At 36.0% G+C, this 19,139-nt stretch overlaps 1 protein-coding gene across 3 annotated transcripts in view, besides 2 other annotated features; it reads right to left on the bottom strand.

Annotated features, from left to right (window-relative positions):
• Positions 1–18,873, bottom strand: part of TMPRSS11E (transmembrane serine protease 11E) — a 50,142-nt gene extending 31,269 nt beyond the window's left edge. The window contains exons 1-2 of one of the 3 annotated variants that reach the window (NM_014058.4): positions 18,813–18,873; positions 4,391–4,515 (exon numbers count right to left, since the gene is read on the bottom strand). In NM_014058.4, the coding sequence (NP_054777.2) occupies positions 4,391–4,515; positions 18,813–18,823 (136 nt within the window). In that variant the 5' untranslated portion in view covers positions 18,824–18,873. Of the gene's footprint in view, positions 1–4,390; positions 4,516–5,129; positions 5,209–18,812 lie in introns of those variants that run through there. The other 2 variants (XM_047450139.1, XM_011531896.3) reach the window with 2 other exon arrangements.
• Positions 13,844–14,426: an enhancer, noted in NCBI's record as "OCT4-NANOG hESC enhancer chr4:69317628-69318210 (GRCh37/hg19 assembly coordinates)". NCBI's record gives its function as "activates a minimal SCP1, AML or CMV promoter by ChIP-STARR-seq in naive and primed H9 embryonic stem cells {active_cell/tissue: H9 hESC(naive and primed)}" and the evidence as "EXISTENCE:reporter gene assay evidence [ECO:0000049][PMID:30033119]".
• Positions 14,427–15,010: an enhancer, noted in NCBI's record as "OCT4-NANOG hESC enhancer chr4:69317044-69317627 (GRCh37/hg19 assembly coordinates)". NCBI's record gives its function as "activates a minimal SCP1, AML or CMV promoter by ChIP-STARR-seq in naive and primed H9 embryonic stem cells {active_cell/tissue: H9 hESC(naive and primed)}" and the evidence as "EXISTENCE:reporter gene assay evidence [ECO:0000049][PMID:30033119]".
• Positions 18,874–19,139: the final 266 nt, after the last annotated feature.

The following is a 19,139-nucleotide window of genomic DNA, read 5'->3' as shown; positions in this document are numbered from 1 at the left end:
GTAAGCCACAAGAGACAGCAAGTCATGCCATCTGAGCATACAAACAGGGATGGATTCAGAAGCCTCCCAAGGGTCACTGCATTTTTATATTCCAAACATAGATTTTCTTTTCCCTTCCATCAACTATACATCAATTCTGGCCGCAAGAACTCTAGTTTGAGAAAATTTATTTTGGCTGAAAAGGAAGATGAGGTTAGGAATTAAAATGCAAGGGATTCAGTAAATGGAAGTTTAGGGAGCTAAAGTTGCCACCTGGCATAACCTTCCAGGGACACTATTTAGTTTCACCTGGGTCCCTTGTCACTGCATGTATGTTTTTCCCACCAACCACAGGGGTTGGCTTGTCTGCTCCTTAGCCACTGTCTCTACATTCTGCATTCAATTTAAGCAACCCACATTTTTGACCTGCTGAAAAGTTAATGTGATATAACTTTTCCTCTACCCTCCAGTGCATAAAGCAAGCAGACAGCCCTCAGAAAATTAATGTATTCATTCAACAAATATTAATGCCAACCACTTTTCAGGAAGAGACACTGTGTCAACCATTAGAAATACACTGGTGATCAAGACAGTTGTATATAGTTACTATAGGAAAGCAGACTGTGGCTCATCCAGTCACAGTCTCTCTCCTCCTTTCTCTTCCTCCCTATTCTTTCCCTCTTCACTTAAACCACAGAAGAAAAGGAAACTAACACTGGACACCAGTGTCCCTAGTACATTCACATATCTCATTTAATTTACAATAACTCCATGAAAAGGCAATGTTATCCACATTTAATAGATTACAGTCTTGGAAATGTAAATAACTTGCCCAAGTCCAGCAGGACATAGCCAAGACTAACTCCCAAAGTACCCACTTACTTCACATGCTGCTTCTTAGAGTAGGAAAAAAAGCCACTTATTAAAGCTAGAGGACAAATCTTTTGTTGTATAAAAGTTATGCAAAAAACTACTGGTGTATTTCAAATAAAACACCCTGGCCATCCAGAGGATTTGATGGGACAGAGAGGGAAGCAGCCATCAGACTCTGACAAGGGCTTGGGTGCGGTTGGTGATGAATAAAAGAGATGAATGGCAGGCAGGAGACACTGAAAGTTGAGTCACCAGAGTACAAGAGACCTAAGTGAAGGACTTGGGAGGTTTTACTCTTCCTCCATCCTTCCTCACCTCCCTTTCTCTGAATGGCCAGGGTGACATGAAATTCAGGCAGGTACCTGGAAATATACATAACTTCAAGTAAGATTTTAAATTTATTGAAATACTGGGAAATAACTCATAACTATCTCTGTAAACTACTGTTCTACTACATTTGTATTTTTTAACATCTGCCTCATAGTTAACTATAACTCTCTGTGGAGTTGTATCCATTCTTCTAGAATTCTGCTTCAAATTTTAATGTGAAAGTGAACTGCCTAGGGAGCCTGTTAAAATGCACATTCTGGTACATGAGGTCTAAAGTTAGACTCAAGATTTTGCATTTCTAACAAGCTAGCAAGTGATGTTGATGCTTCTGGTAGCTAATCACATATTAAATAGCAAGATTCTAGACAGAATGCTAACAGACCCTTCTACACCCTTAAATGTAGTTTTTTGGCTTATTAGATTGAATGATTTAAAATCACCATTAGTACAGGTCAAAAATAGTCAAATATTGGCAATTTCATATGGTTTAACCAAGTTAACAATTTATTATCTGTGCTCAGTATTTTACTTTACCCTGTAGACTTAAGCATGCCACTGTTAAAACATATTACCAGCTGCCATAAATATATGGTATGAGTAGTTACTAAAATATGTTGGGAATATTAACAGAAAAGTTAAAAATAAGGATAAACATGAGTTTGTTGGTAAATTTCTAGCAGTTTTGTGATTCTATAATCTGCAGTGATGTTGCTTATAACAGATTCATCTTCTGACATCCAAATTACACAGGGGCAGAAATGCACCCCCAAAGGCCCCAGACACGAACCATACACAGAATTCTACATTGTCCTGGGCTTTATGAAATGAGAACCAAAATGATATTTTTCCAAATCTGATTACCTTTGTCTGTATCTGTCTATTTCTGTGACAGATTTTTTTGGTTTGGTTTGATTTGGTTATTTTGGCATGTCAGCTTCTAAATATTTGTCTGCCAAAGCCACTCGGTTAGTTTACATCCCAAAACAGAAAGCAGGTCACAAATAGAAGGCAGTAACACACATCACAACAATCACTGTTTATTCAGGTGTACTGTGTGGGCAGTAGAAGCTGTGTGTTCAGTATTACTCAGTTGATCATCCAAACAACAGGATTCAGGAACAGGTTACTGAAAAAATTCTTGCCAAGTTTTCACTGTATACATATGAGTAAGATTTATGAATCTTATAAAACTTGGCTTGGGAAGAGGCAAATGAGAAGTAGAAAGGGACATTTTCTCTCACTGAGGTGATTAGCCCCTAGTGTTACTAGGAATTCCTTGTGAAGTCAGACAAGCCGAAGTATGGCCCAAGAAAATATTGTAGGCATGATTCATTTGATATTATCATTCAGTATTTAATAAATATTTATAAAGCACATAACATGTGCCAAGATTCTGATAAATTCTAGACACACAAAAGTGTGTAAAACAGTCCTAGACATCCATGGGGACAAATAATGATGCTTACAACAAAGTAGGACTCAATATTCTCAGCAGAACTGTAGAACTATAAAGTTATTCCAGCAATTCATTTTTATTTAAAGTATGCTTCAGTCCCAGCACAGTGGCTTATGCCTGTAATCCCAACACTTTGGGAGGCCAAGGAAGGCAGATCTTTTGAGGTCAGAAGTTCGAGACCAGCCTGACGAACATGGTGAAACCCTGTCTCTGCTAAAAATAGAAAAAATTAGCCGGGTGTGGTGGCGCATGCCTGTAATCTCAGCTACTCAGGAGGCTGAGGCACAAAAATCACTTGAACCCAGGAGGCAGGGGTTGCAGTGAGCCGAGATCGAGCCACTGCACTCCAGCCTGGGAACAGACCAAGACTCCGTCTCAAAAAGCAAAAAAAAAGTGTGCTACAGAAAAATCTGTTATTAATATGCAGATACTCCAAATTTAAAGACTTGCCTGTATGCAAATTCTACCAAAAAAATCTTTGTTTTAAATATTTTTTTAAACTATCCAGAAATGATCCACCTTGCTTTGTAAATTGAGATTATACTTGCGTGGATAGTAGAGGAAGATAACCAGGTTACAGAGTACTCTTTCTCGTTACTGGAAAGAAACTTCAACAAGGTCCCAATTAAATTAGAATCAAGTTATTAGCTTCTATGGTTACGGTGCCTTGAACATCCAAGTATAATCTAGTAACAGAGGAAGATATTAAACTAACAGGTCATGGTTGAGTCAAGTAATTAAAACCCTAGGCAGAGTAGGAGGAAACTTCAGAAGGGCTGTTACATCCCAGAATAACAGTTCTGAAGTACCCTGGAGACCTTTCTAATAACATAGCAACTAACAGTTCATCTAGCAATGAGGTACCTGATAACCGCAGGGTGAACATCTTTATAATTAGCTTTCTTGGCATACCCTATCCTCTTTAATCACCTACAATATATCCTAAGATGAGATTTTAATAACAGAAATAGGCACTTACTCAACAATACATCACTATGACTATTTTTGTAACTTACTGGTACAGAATAGAGCCTACTTCTTTATGACTCCAGATTGTGTCATTGATTTATTGGGATGTCAGGACTTCAACGAGTTGGATTTTTTTTTTTCTTTTTGAGACCGAGTCTCTCTCTCTTGCCCAGACTGGAGTGCAGCGGTGTGATCTCGGCTCACTGAAACCTCCGCCTCCTGGGTTCAAGTGATTCTCCTGCCTCAGCCTCCCCAGGAACTGGGACTACAGGTGTACACCATCACACCTGGCTATTTTTTTTTTTTTTTTTTTTAGTAGACACGGGGTTTCACCATGTTGGCCAGCCTGGTCTCAAACTCCTGACCTCAAGTGATCCACCCGCCTCAGCCTCCCAAAGTGCTGAGATTACAGGCGTGAGCCACTGCACCCGGTCAGAATTATTTTAAATCAAGATGCTTGCCCTGTGACCTCAAACAACTCAAGACATTGGTTCTAGCTATCCTGTAGTTTTCCTTTGATTAATACTCACTTATTGCTTATTAAGGAAGATGCAAATAAGCATGCTGTTCCCAGCAGAAAGCATCACTACATCAAAGATAGAAAAAAGAATCCTCCTTGACTTATGAGGACTAAATAAGAGAGAAAGCAGGTAAAGATCCCTTTGTACAGGCTATGCAAATGAATCGTAGTGATAAATGAATAAGCCTGAGGCAAATCAAAACAGCAAGGTATGAGGAAATATTTGGGGTAAATCACATGATGCCAAGGCAGCTTATACTTACTATATCTCACATAATGAACAGTGAGTCCAATGCACACTGCCAGGACAATCAGGGATATGAAGATGACGAGGCCGATAACCCAGGGTTCCCAACAAACTCTTTTCCTAGCCCTCACCACATCTGGCCTAAGGAAGAAAATAAATAGATAGATTATTTCAGAGCATGCAACACATCCACTCATTAGACAAAACAGATATTTTGGGGGAATAAAGGACATTCAGTTGGAGGGTCGTGTACTGTCTGGGTTTAGAGCACACCCTGGTTCCAGGCTGCTGAGGCCAGTCCTGACTCTGACTCCTGTTGCTAGGCAAGTAGTTTGACTTTTGTGCTTGGGTTTCCTCATCCATAAAAGGAAGATGATAATGATAGTACCTATTTCATATGATTATTGTGAGGATTAAATGAAGTACTACATATAAAGTGCCTGTAACAATGCCTGACATGTAGAAAAGTGCAATATTAAATGTTAGCTATCACTTGTTGAGCCAGCCATGTACTTGATATAGAGTTAGACACTGCAGGGGCTACAAAAATATTTTAAGCCTTTTCTCTAGCACTCTAGAATCTTAAATAGCCTTTGAAGTGTGTTACAGCTTGAAGCATACCAGGTTTCACATGGAGTTGCTAATTCTATTCTTCTAATTTTCTGATCTATTTCCAAACCAAACTTTGAGGATACATAGAAGAAACAACCAGAGGCCCCTTCCTAAAGAACCTGAGGTTTTGAGCTAATATTTACCTTTAAGCTTTAATGATGCTACAGAAGGCCGGGCACGGTGGCTCACGCCTATAATCCCAGCACTTTGGGAGGCCGAGGCGGGCGGATCATGAGGTCGGGAGATCAAGACCATCCTGGCTAACATGGTGAAACCCCGTCTCTACTAAAAATACAAAAAAATTAGCCGGGCATGGTGGCAGGCGCCTGTAGTCCCAGCTACTCTGGAGGCTGAGGCAGGAGAATGGCGTGAACCTGGGAGGCGGAGCTTGGAGTGAGCTAAGATCGGGCCACTGCACTCCAGCCTGGGCGGTAGAGCGAGACTCCGTCTTAAAAAAAAAAAAAAAGCTACAGGAAATTCTTTTTGCATGAGATTCCCTCAACTTCTATTTGTTCTGCCTTCAAAAATACATGTTACTGAAAAACATTGATCCACATGATTTTTGTTTGATTGGTAAAGTTGCTGTCCCATTGGGTTATAATATTTGGTAAGCAAACTCTAAAGCCAGAAATGTGAAATAATAAGTCAGAGATGACTAAGGAGTTTGAATATGATACTCTTATTTTAGATTTCTTGAGGTATTTACGCCAGTGTGTGCTATGCTTTTTTCTTTTTTCTAGAGTGCTAACTGTCTGCTACATGAGGACTTGAGGAAAACATGGTATTCTCCTGGAGGAGTACTGGGTGTTGAATCAGAATAAGGAGAATTCTAAGTGCAGCCCTTTCATTAACAGATCAGCGACGGAAAAATCATTTAAACTCTGAGCTCAATTTCCCCATATATCAGTAAGGGGCGGGATAACCATTCCGTCTAAAGCACTTTGGGACCTAAAATTAGATCATGAACGTGTAAACAGCAAAGCATTTCACAATAAATGCCTTTTGTTTACAGAAAACAAGAACGCTCTGTTTCCTGATGATATAGGATCAGGAAGTGATAATATTATCATGTTGGCCCCTGTCACACCATCATTAGATCCTGGCTCTGGCTGGACACAAAATAAAGAGCATTGGCATAGAAGTCAATGGTGTTATCATCGCTGTATAATCCTGTCCCTGGGAAAGGGACTGAGATGTAGTGGAAGGCTCCAGGGGCTCTGCTTGTTCTCCTGCCTTGTTCCTGTGATTTTTCCACGGGGCCGTAACCAGGGAAGCTTTTATCTTACTCTCCTCAACCTTTCCCATCTCCAGTTTTCCCTTGAGTAGAATTCCAAACACCTGTTCCTAGAATGTCAATTACTGCAATATAAAAAGTCTTCTCCACAATGAGATTATGTTTTATGTGCAACTGAGCCTAAGAAACCCCCAAAACTGACTCTTCTTCCTTCATCCCTGAATGCTTGCTATTAATCTGTTACAGAAGAAAGGAGATGGGTATAACACACGTAAGCAAAACTTTGGGGGGAATACAGGGAGAGAAGGGTTTCTCAACTAATATCAAAACATGTCAGATGAAGAAAATGAATGTGTGCTTGTAGAAAACATGAAATTATCAAAAGTATATGATTGTTATATAGAATTGTGAAATATTAGACACGTTCTATTTGTTCTACAGTAAGTTTTAATCAAGACAAAAATGTAAGCAATGCAGCCATTCTATTGATGAAGTAGGTTTCATGTATTAACATTAAAAAGGTTAATGATAAGTTTCAATTTTAAAAAGTTATAGAATAATATGCATTTCATGTTTCGGTTTTCATAAATAATGAAACTATATATGTGTGTGCATAACAAAATATATAGAAGACACAACCAATATTTATTAGTAAGAAGCCGAATAACAAATAAGTGAGAAATTTTAATTTTAATTTATGGATTTGTTTGTTTTATGGTGGATTTTTTAAGAACAACATTATGGCGTTTGAATTAAAAAAAAGAGAGCGAGAGACATAGGACATTCTTAAAATATGAAAAAAAAACTAAGGAAGATTATATATGTATTTTCATGGAATTTACATCACTGCAGTGTCCAAGGTACCACTGTGATTCTTCTTCTGACCCCCACCTTTCCACATTACTCACAACTATTTTAGTGACATGCTCTCCTGAGTGGCTAGAAGTAGACAAAAGGGATAATATGGGACAAAGGAAAAAGAGAATCCAGTCAAAAATACTTTGAATAAACAATTAAGAGATTATATTTCTGAGCCCTGCCACCAACTCATTTATTATATAGTCTTGTACGCAGAGATTCAATTATCTGTCTTAATTTCTCCATATGAAAAACAAGGATAATAAGTCCAGACCCCTCCTAACCTAATGAGCTAGGTAGAGATAAAAATGAGAAGGCGGTTTGGTACTTTGAGCTCCCAAGTGGAAAAATCATTGTACAAATAACGAGGATGATAATTATCATCATCATTATTTTAATTATTAGTAATAGTGGTAATGACCACATTACTAAGATGTTTGTCACTTGAAACATTATTTGTTCTTTTCCCAGTCTGTATAGCATTGTTTTTCAAACTGATTCACCCTATTTTTTAGCTTTTTTGAGATATAATTGATCCTATTTCTTAGTTACTTTTTTATTTTCTCAGTAAGTGATTCAATACTGAATTCCTCCAAATTAGATGTGAAAAAAGTATGCTCAAAGAAAGTAGTAAAGTGAAGGAATAAATTTATTTTACATATCAACAGACGTTTGTATAATTAACCTCCTCCTGAACATACATAAACACTTGTCCAGTCAATATTTTCATCTATCAAAACTTATGTGCACCTATTCGTGTAAAATCACCTTCAGATAGACTGATTGAATTCTAACAGCTTTAGTAATATCAAATTTCTTTCTTTATATGATTTTCTTTTCAATCTGGAGACATGTATAATTAGTGACAAGTCAAGTGAATATAACAGTTAAAGTATGCTTTGTTTTTTTAGCCCCAAATTGCCAGAAAACAAGCAATATGCTTAGGCTGCATTATTATTATTGCTTATTAATGTGTAATTTTTAGAATAGTGCTAAAAAAGAAAAGCAGCAGCAACAGCAAAAAGACAAGGGGAAAATGTACTAGTGCAAATAAAGCTAATGGCAAGCACTGGAAAATGACAAGTCAAGGCTCAGTGTTTCAAAGAAAAATTTACCAGAAGAAGCCTCTTCACAGCAATACCACCAATCAATAGTTGGTCTTTTAAAAAAAGAAAAATTATACTTTAAGTTTTGGGGTACATGGGCAGAATGTGCAGGTGTGTTACATAGGTATACACGTGCCATGGTGGTTTGCTGCACCCATCAACCCATCATCTACATTAGGTATTTCTCCTAATACTATCCCTCCCCTAGCCCCCCACCCACTGATAGGCCCCAGTGTATGATGTTCTGCTCCCTGTGTCCATGTATTCTCATTGTTTAACTCCCACTTATGAGTGAAAACATGCAGTATTTGGTTTTCTGTTCCTGTGTTAGTTTGCTGAGAATGATGGTTTCCGGCTTCATCCGTGTCCCTGCAAAGAACATGAACTCATCCTCTTTTATGGCTGCATAGTATTCCATGGTGTATATGTGCCATGTTTTCTTTATCCAGTCTATCATTGAAGAAGAAATGAGATACGTATAACAGACATCATTGATGGGCATTTGGGTTGGTTCCAAGTCTTTGCTATTGTGAACAGTGCCGCAATAAACATACGTGTGCATGTGTCTTTATAGTAGCATGATTTATAATCCTTTTGGTATATACCCAGTAATGGGATGTCTGGGTCAAATAGTATTTCTGGTTCTAGATCCTTGAGGAATCACCACACTGTCTTCCACAATGGTTGAACTAATTTACACTCCCACCAACAGTGTAAAAATGTCCCTATTTCTCCACATCCTCTCCAACATCTGTTGTTTCCTGACTTTTTAATGATCGCCATTCTAACTGGCATGAGATGGTACTCATTGTGGTTTTGATTTGCATTTCTCTGATGAACAGTGATGATGAGCTTTTTTTCATATGTTTGTTGGCTGCATAAATGTCTTCTTTTGAGAAGTGTCTGTTCATATCCTTTGCCTACTTTTTTATGGGGTTGTTTTCTTCTTGTAAATTTAAGTTCTTTGTAGATTCTGCATATTAGCCCTTTGTCAGATAAATAGATTGCAAAAATTTTCTCCCATTCTCTAGGTTGCCTGTTCACTCTGATGATAGTTTCTTTTGTTGTGCAGAGGCTCTTTAGTTTAATTAGATCCCATTTGTCAATTTTGGCTTCTGTTGCCATTGCTTTTGGTGTTTTAGTCATGAAGTCTTTGCCCATGCCTATGTCCTGAATGGTATTGCCTAGGTTTTCTTCTAGAGTTTTTATGGTTTTAGGTCTTACATTTAAGTTTAATCCATCTTGAGTTAATTTTTGTTTAAGGTGTAAGGAAGAGGTCCACTTTCAGTTTTCTGCATATGACTAGCCAATTTTCTCAACACCATTGATTAAATAGGGAATCCTTTCCTCATTGCTTGTTTTTGTCAGGTTTGTCAAAGATCAGATGGTTGCAGATGTGTGGCATTATTTCTGAGGCCTCTGTTCTGTTCCATTGGTCTATATATTTGTTTTGGCATATGATATGTATTTGACCGTAGCTTAGCTCATAGGATTGTGCCTGCTTATCCTATCAACAAAAGTATTTGAGATGTGTTTTACTTTGTGAAAAGCCCAAACCAGCAAGCATTGGTGACATAATTAATCCTTCTCACACTTTCTAGAACAGGACTATAAAAATATCCACAGTAGAAATAAAACAGAATATCATATATACGTGCATGGATTATATATTTTCATTGCTGTTTTTTTAAAAAAAGAAGAAATACAAGCAAATTACTCCACATAAAATTACAAATAACATATTTCTGTCCTATCCACTGGAAGATAAAACACATCTATAAGTATCTGATAGCATCAGCCAGGCGCTTGGGCTGAATCACAATGTTTGCATTCCCTACCATAATAATTACGGCTAGTTCTCATAGAGAAGTTACAAAACCCAGAGTTTAACTATTTCTGTTTAGCCAACCATAAAACTTACGTGACAGTATCTTTCCCTTACCTTTAAAAGGAGGTTGTGAAGATTGCATATGATATCAATAGACTTTGTTAGATAGGTGTACTACATAAATATTAGTGGCAACTCAACAGTAAGGAATGTCTCTGACCTCCACTGTGATTATCATCAAGGTTTTATTAAGTTCCCAACTAAATATGGTACAGCACAGGTGACTACAAACTGATATTTAAGTTGACACTTGGCCTGATCTCTAGAAATTTGCAACTACATACAGATAGGTGGGTTGCAAAAAAATTAAAGATATTATTAAGTAATTAGTTATGGGTTTATAGACTTAAACTAAGCTACTGAAGTTTGAATTCTACTAATATATTTGCTTTCTTTTCCTCAAACTCTTTTTAGTTCAAGATAATAAACTGGCATTACCTGAGCAACTTTATACACAACAATATCCCACAGCAAAGTTAACGAGCGATGCCATTGCAGCCAATCATAGGGAATTTTACACACTTCAAAATGTGGAAGAAAAATAAGAATTAACAAGCAGTGTGCTGATATCACTGCAAGTGTATCAGAAGAAAAATGATTGAGAAACCTGAGCTAGAGACACTCTTGTGGCTGCTAATATATAGCTTGAGACTTTCAGAAACTTTTTAAAATTTTAGCTGTCTTCCTACCAAATCTTCTTCTTGACATTGTCTAGATGACTCCAAGAAAGTTTGCATGATAGAATGGAAGTAGATCTAAACTGTAAAACCAGTAACCTATGTCTTAGTGTTAGTTCAAACAGATGAGAAATCTGAGAGCATACTCCACATCAAACGAGTTCCAGCATCCCCTGAGCCCCAACTTGTATGATATTGAGAGCTCTCCTTTTCTTCACATGTTAAAAAATCAGCGGAAATTTAAATTGATCTAAATGGTCTTCAATTTTCATCCAAGCTAATGTTCCATGCCTCACATAACACAAAAAGTTACATATCCTAATTAAAATTCAGCATTTGTTAAACAATCAGACTTCAGGCAATTTTTCAAATGCCTCATTTTTCTGTTGACTACAATGTCAGATAATTTGAAATAATTTGCAGTCAAACTAAGAGACTACAAGTTATTTGAAACAATCTAAATACCATACCTGAGAAAGCCAGACTTTGAAAATCATACTTTACTACTTGTATTGAGAAGTTGGTTAAGGGGTACAAATGTATAGATAGAAGGAATAAGTTCTACCATTCAGTACAGTAGGGAAATTTTAGTTAACAATATCTTGTTTTGCATTTCAAAATAGCTAGAAGAGAACTGTAATATTTCCAACACAAGATGGTCATAGACATCCCAGTTACCTTGATTTGATCATTACACATTGCATACAAGCATCAAAATATCACAGATACCCCCAAAATATGTATAACTACTATACACCAACTTTTTAAAATCTCTAGACCCTGATTAAAATGTGCCTGAATGTGACAGTTGGGCCACATGCTGACACCTTGTTGTGTCCTCTGGCTTGCTGTTTCCTTAGAAAGCACTCTAAACCATACACCAAGAATTCTTTAGACAGTCTAGAAATTTCTACATGTAACAAAATTCTATCTGAATTAATTCAGCAATGAGGAGAAATTGAAAAATGTATAGACCCTCTCGATGTTTAAATAATTCTTCCAAAATGAAAAGTGAGTTTTCCTGATTAAAGAATTTTCTGCCCCAGTTATCGACCTGAAATATATGTAAGAATTCAGTTTTAATTTTTGGATGGTACATAAAATTTATGAAATTTTTTATTATATACTCACCTTGACAATTACGTTCTAATATATTGGCATTTAATAATAACATAGTGAAATAAGCTCAGGTTCATATTAGAATAAAGTAGGATTTCTGTGCAAATTAATACCATAAAAATTATAAGAAATGCATTATTTTACCCAAAAGAACAAATACTTTTAGTTACCAATGTCCATGCGTTTAATTCATATCTATATACTGATGACTACCAAATCTATAACTGCAGCTCAGCTCACTTGCCTACACTTCAAAACTATATATCCACCAGCCTATGTTCATCACAATGGGCTATACCTCTTACCATTCAAACTTAATACAGCTATACTAGAAACTCCTAGACGCCTATCCCAAATATTTATTCTTTTTTTTCTAATAACAGAAACCTTGATCTTTGGTTAGGCACACAGCCACCAGAAAAATCAAATAGTGCCCCTTGTCCATAAGAGTCAGCATATGAATACTTTCTTTCCAATGGAGTCTCTATTTTGTTGGCTGGAATCCTAATGTGCATTTCATAGTTAGAATACATATGTGCTAGTTGAAGCATGGATTGCCACAGTAGACCAGGATTTGGAAGACACGTAATCAAGCTGGTAGGACAGCACAATAGTAGGAGACTAGATTCCTAATTATTTTGTGAACCTCCCTATTAGCTCTTACCTGCCTATCTCCAGAATTGTTTCACATTAAACGGAATAAAATTCCATTTTATGTAATCCCCTGTTACTCTGGGTTTCCTGTCACTCGTAGCTAAATCCGATACTATTATAATATGCAAAACAGATTGTTGCAATCAAGGGAAATTGCCACTTTCACATAATGATCTTTGGGAAAAGAGGACATGAAGACGTGTATTTACTAATTCTCTTGCAAATTCTGTATATGTGAAAGATGGTAAACTATTTTAACTTAATTTTCTCTAGCAGCATAATTTTGAGATACAATTAATAATTATAATATTAATATATCAGAAGACCAAGGTTCTAGTCAAGAGCCTCTTTGTAACAAGCTCTATGACTTTAAGCAAATGACTTCCATTTTCTTGTTTAGTGGATAAAGACTTGGGCTTAGGCATCAAACAGCTTGGGATTAGTCCTAACTGCCTGTTACTAGTTAGGTGGCTCTAGGAAAGTTACTCACCTTCTCTAAATCTACATTTCCCCACCCACAAATGGAGATAATGATAAGACCTAACTCAGAAGATTCTTCTGAAGATTAAATAAAGTAACACAAGGGAGATGGCACCATGCCAGGCACACAGTAAATACACCACAAAAGTTGGCCATTGTCATTATTTCCTCTTTCATAATGAAAAATTAGCTTTAAGGTGGGTTGAAAAATCCACTCAGATGCCTCACGTATGCCTAAGGGAATAAAAGACAGGAAGGTAGAGGAAGCTTCTAGCCTCTATCCCACTCCACCCACAGCAATTCTGCTCCAAACATCAAGGGTCTGCATTAAGCTTCCAGTGCAAAAAGGGATTCAACTAGTAAAGAAAACTTTAAAAAGCGTTCATCTTCGGACCCATCCAATTCAGAGATTTGAGTCAGGCAGCTGCCAGTTGTCCTACAGTTTAGTACAAGAATTCATTACCCTGTTTTTAAAAGGCCAAATATAGCTTTATTGTTGAATCAAATAATGTATCCCCAAATGCCTAATAATGACTTGAATGTACTATATAATTAAAAGATTGGTTTGAAATATTTTTAAAGTGTTCATTTATTATCTTTGGTATTTTCTGAATTAGGAAAGTTGAAACACTAAGATAAAGTAATTTTTTGAAAGCCAAGGTAAGTTATCTGTGCTTCACCAAAGAAGCACTTCTGATCCCAGAATCATGACCTGGCAGAAGCCAGGACTAGAAAGCACAGGGCTGATGTGAGAACAGGTGTGCTCAGATTCCAGCTCTACCAGTCACTTAGCAGAGATTTGGAAGTCTCAGTCTTCCTAATTTTTGGTTTCCCTAGCTGTAAAGTCATGGTAATATTAAAATTATCTGATTCTCAGTGTTGTAAAGTACCAAATGAGAAAACATATGTTGAAATTACATATGTAGCATATTTACGTCAAATAATATTTTTATTGTTACGATATGTACCCTCTCTAAATTTTACTAACTGTGACCTGACAAAATTTAATGTAAAGTAACTAATTTTAAATGGGCCACATATTTTCATACAAGCTTAAATGGTAATAGTAATAAAAATAACAATAATATGTCTTGGGTCATGTAGCCACCGGTGTTAATTTAACTCTTCTGTTTGACTGTATTGACATCAGTATACAGGTGAAGTGGGAGGACAGACTACATCTCTGTCTTGACTGACTCACCCATTCCTGTGGCCACATGCAAATTATCTCATCTTTGAGCATTTTGTTCCCTTCCTTTAGAGAATGCATACAGCAATGCTTCCTATCCACTGGCCTTAGAGGTCTACTTTAAAGATCATCCATAACAATGTTTCTTGAAAATGTAAATTTTTCACCTTTTAAGACAGTAAGTCAGTTAAATCAAAGTAGTAAAAGAACCACTTAGGCAGACAAAGGAGACATTGTGAGGGTGGTATAGCACTGTGATTAAGAGCATAGGCTTTGAAGTCAGATAGACCCTGGTTAACCATCAGTTCTGCCTTTTATTATTACCCCTGGGCAAAAAAAAATTACCTGTCTGAGCCTCATTTTTCTCATCTGTAAAATGAGTATGATAATATAACCATAGGTTGATATAAAGTTTAAATGCATATGATGTTTTAAGACAGTAGTTGGCAGATAGTACATGTGAAACTAAAGATAGCAATTATTATTTTGTCCTGCACTGACTCACAGTTCAACTTTAAACAAAGTGCTAAATCCCTCTGTGTCTGCTTTTGCAGTTTCAAAACAGAGATATCATCTGACATTTTCAGATAAAAGGTTGCAAAATAGAATTTAAATATGCCTGTATAGTACTTTGGATCCCCCTAAGATTAGTTCTATCATCTTAGAATTGCAATTCTAAAAATTGCCCTACCACACAGGCCATGTGTGTACATGGGAGAAGAAGGTTGGGCTTACAGGTTCTGGCATGACTCAGTGTTTCTGCAGCCCATTTTTCTTTCTCAGCCTCTTAAAACCTTCCTTCTCTCTAGTCCAGTCATTTTAAACCTATTAAAACCTGAAAATGTGAAAGTATTCTTCACAGTTCTTAGCTATTATCTTCAATGAGAGCAGATCCAAAGGAGCGCACTTGAAGAACTTCTCTGTGCAGTTTCTCTAAACTCTAACCCTGATAGAGCCATAAAACAAGCCAGAGAACCCATTTTACCTCCTACCCTTCCAGAAGACCTGCTTCACGACTGTTCAATCTACCTCTTTCACAAGCACTAAAACCATCAGGCATGCTTATAAATCTCAGTGCTAATACGGAAACACACGACACTGCTATTTTTCATGTTTCTCTGGATTGTTTCTATTTATTTTCTCTTTAAGTTGAAGCAATGACATATTTTTGGAGGAAAGCAGACAACAATGACAGAACAACAAAGATTCATTTAGCAGACAGCTACTGCAGACCAGTGAATTAGTTCCATGAAATATTGCTCTAAGATAAACATGATTTTCACAATATAGCAAATGTAATCCTTTTTAGAAAACAGAGATGATGTAGTTAAAGTGCTATACTCTGATCACCTTTGAAACAGTGCAGAAAAGATAGATCACTGTTTATTTAGTTTAAATACAAAGTCGGTTGTATAAGGGCAGGCAATGCATTTTTTAAAATGTTTTTAAAACTTATAAATGAAAGTAAAATTACACCTCCACACTTCTTTCCTCAGCATAAATGTGCATGATTTCATATTAGTCTTTACATCTTCTGGTTTTTTAAATCTATGCACCAACATTTTCTCCATGTGTGGATATGTGTGCGTTTATTTTCTATTTCTCTGTTGCCATCTATTTTCTCTGTAAACTTCTCAAAGATTCTACTTATAGCTTCCTACACATGGTAGACAATATGTTACAGGGAAAAAAGTATATTTTAAAATCAGAAAGATCAGAATTAGATTCTAGATTCGACACTTACTAACCGCCTAGACAATCTGAGCCACAGGTGCTTCATCTTTTAAAAGGAATGAAAGCAATAACCACTTATCAAAACATTACCAAAATTTAATGAAATTGCATTTTATAAAATACACAATATATAGTAGGTGCTCAACAGAGAGTTTTCTTCCACACAGGACTTAGTATGCAATGAGAACTCACTAAAAGTTGTTATATGGATCAGGGCTGATTCTAGTTGAAGGAGAAGTGTGAGCACATGCTAAATACTTATAACACAACCATATAGCAACTCTGGGCCTAAGCCTAAAAGGAGTGTCTCTTCAGTATCCATACTGACTAATGTCACAGGGTAACACTGCTACATTAATTTTATACCAAGGTTTTTCCTGTAAACAAATAGATTTTTATGATCCATATAAAGTCATCCTCCTTATCAGACACAAACTAAGCAAAAAATGTCTATGTTCTCCCCCCTCAGTTTCCCCTCCTTTCTGAAATTATCCTCTCTTTCTTAATCATCACCATGTTGCATAAATGAGTACTCTTCTCCCTTGAAGGGAAAGGTGACTGGGAAAGAGCACCTCCCATTCAGATGTAATTACACCAATTTAAATAAAACAGAACTACTTTTAACAACTGGCCTATTTCATTTATGGTTTAATTTCTTTCAGGCTTACACATTTCTTTTTCTTTTTCTATGTCTTTACACCATTAGTGCTTGTCAAACTTTAGGGTAAATAAGAATTACATTGTGTAAATGTTTTAAATATGATTTCCATGTCTCAACCAGAGATTCATTAGAATTTCTGGGATGAGAGCTGGAGATTCCTATTTTTAATAAGCACTGTAATGCAGGGGTCTACGGACCACACTTTTAGAGACAGTGCTTACCCTATTAGGTAAAAATTAAAGTTGTCCATTTTGTGTCATTTGAATATTACTCATTTCACCTTCAGCCATCTCAATATGTGTGGATGTCGATGCCTATAAATTCAGTCTGCTTATTTTCACTTCTTCTCAGTGGTTGCTGATAAATACAGTTAGTATACACCCCTATGACCAATAAATATATTTAATGGACACATTCTTCTCTTCCCAAATCTGTTCTCTATAAACTTATGCCTGATAGAGTTTTCTTTAACTTTCTGTTGTGTGTTTATAAAATTCATGTGTTGATCTCTTCATGCTCAAAGAATAGTCCAAAATAAGAGTTTGGAGAAAATGGCAGTACAAGAAGAATAATGCTTACCCAGTTTAAATTTTTTCCTACCCTTAAATTCTAAAAAAAAAAAAAAAAAACTGATTCTTATTCAGGTAGAGTCAGGGAGAAGGCTATCCGAAATCTGACTGAAAAGGAAGGAGCATGCTATTTAATAAAATTCCCCACCTGTTTCTTGTATTCTTTCTGAGTTAAAACCAATGACCTTAAGAAGAAATTGTCTACTTATATCCTAGGATTTCAATTATCCCTCTTCCTCGATAACACTCCTGTTGGCACATTTACGACAGCAAATGTGAATAATAAACTTAATCCTTTTTTGCTCTAGTACATGCTCTTAACATTTTATCTCATCTAGACCCACTCAAACATAGATGTGCTTCATCTTTCATACAATCTTCAGATCAGGAAGACGTTTTTGTTTGTTAGATGGTTGGTTTTGGTTTTTGGTTTTTTCCATGAGAGATTATTTGCATCTATTCTGCAGCAGGATTTTTAAAAATAGTCACATCTTTTGCTTCAAATTAGAGACTACACTCAGAAAAATTCACTCCAGTATTCCCACATTATACCGCCTCTACACATTTATAACCAAATTCCAAATCTCTGACATATACCATAGATAAGGCTTGTAATCTATTTAGTATGTTAAGTTTATTGGAAGCTTTCTTGAAGCACTGTTTTCTATAGTAAAGTCAATGAGAAAAAGAGAATAGGATACAAAACCATCATTGGTTGTAAAGAAATACTTGCAAAAGGCAGGGAGCCTTGATAAGCCCAACAAAATGTTTAGTATCCGTAGCTTTTAGTTGCTTCATGGATATGTACAGAAGAGTATTAAACTTCTAATAACAAGTATGTAGAACTTTCAACTGATGACAGAACCTGTTTTTCCATGTTAAATGAAGACCACAGATTTCATTCAAAGTTTAACATTTTCAAACTGTTCTCAAAGTAAAAACTAATAAAAAATGATATGCCAATATGAGAATCAGAGAAAATAAATTTTAATCAGGAGATAAAATTATTTTCAAAGACAAAACTAGTACCCCAAAACCTTGTTACTGATTAGTTTCTAACTTTGAAAGAAAACCTCAAAATGATCATGACTTATCTTTGGAGAAGTTGACTATGGCCAGGCATATCAGTGGATTTATTTTTTAAATCAGGCTATAATAATTTAGTCATATTATTTTCTTCAGTTGTTTCTGATTCTTTCAAAACATCTAGAGTTTTTAAATTTTTAACTACTTACAGAAATAAACATTTTTTTCTGCATTATTTCAGACTTTTTTTCATGTACACCTTCTAAAATAAAAGTGTTTCTCAATAAGACAAACAAAGCCCAAGCTAAAAATATGTTATATCTTTCTTGAAACATATGGCCAAACTAACTAAAAGACAGCTGTCAAACACCATGTACCTTTACATTGTGTAGAAACCTTCTAAAAGTAAACAGAAAAACACATGGGATACAACAAAAGAGGACAGGAAACACTAATACAGAAAGAATAGAAATCTTTTTCTTGACATAATTTTATGTAAAATCTCAAAAATATGTTTCTATATTTAAAAAAATAATAAACTGTAGATCTACACATTCCTTGGTGTGGCTCATACTGTTTTAAACTAAAAGTTACCTTAAGACTTCTAGAAAGAAAAAGGGAACTAACTCACCGATACATCATTGCCAACCAGCAATGAAGAGTCCTGTGAAGGTCGAGGTCTACATCCAAGTGTGTGAATCCAGCTCTATCAATGACTTTGTGGGCTGAATTGAAGTGAGGAAATAAGTCACTGATGATCTCAACAGAACCAGTCTGACAAGTCTTGGCTGGTGTAGTGGGGACTATATGTGACTAGCAGGACAAGGACAAATTTTACAGGGAGCAAGAGCAAAAAATAAATTTATAATTTATTGTTTTAAGATAATTTCTTTTAAGTATTAGTGTAAACCAGATTTTTTAGAAAAGTCAGACGTATAAATTTGGAAAGAAATTTTAA

This window comes from Homo sapiens, chromosome 4, assembly GCF_000001405.40.
Source record: "Homo sapiens chromosome 4, GRCh38.p14 Primary Assembly".
Lineage (NCBI taxonomy): Eukaryota > Metazoa > Chordata > Mammalia > Primates > Hominidae > Homo > Homo sapiens.
Note: the sequence above shows the minus strand (reverse complement) of the source record. Positions and strands in the feature narration are given on the sequence as shown.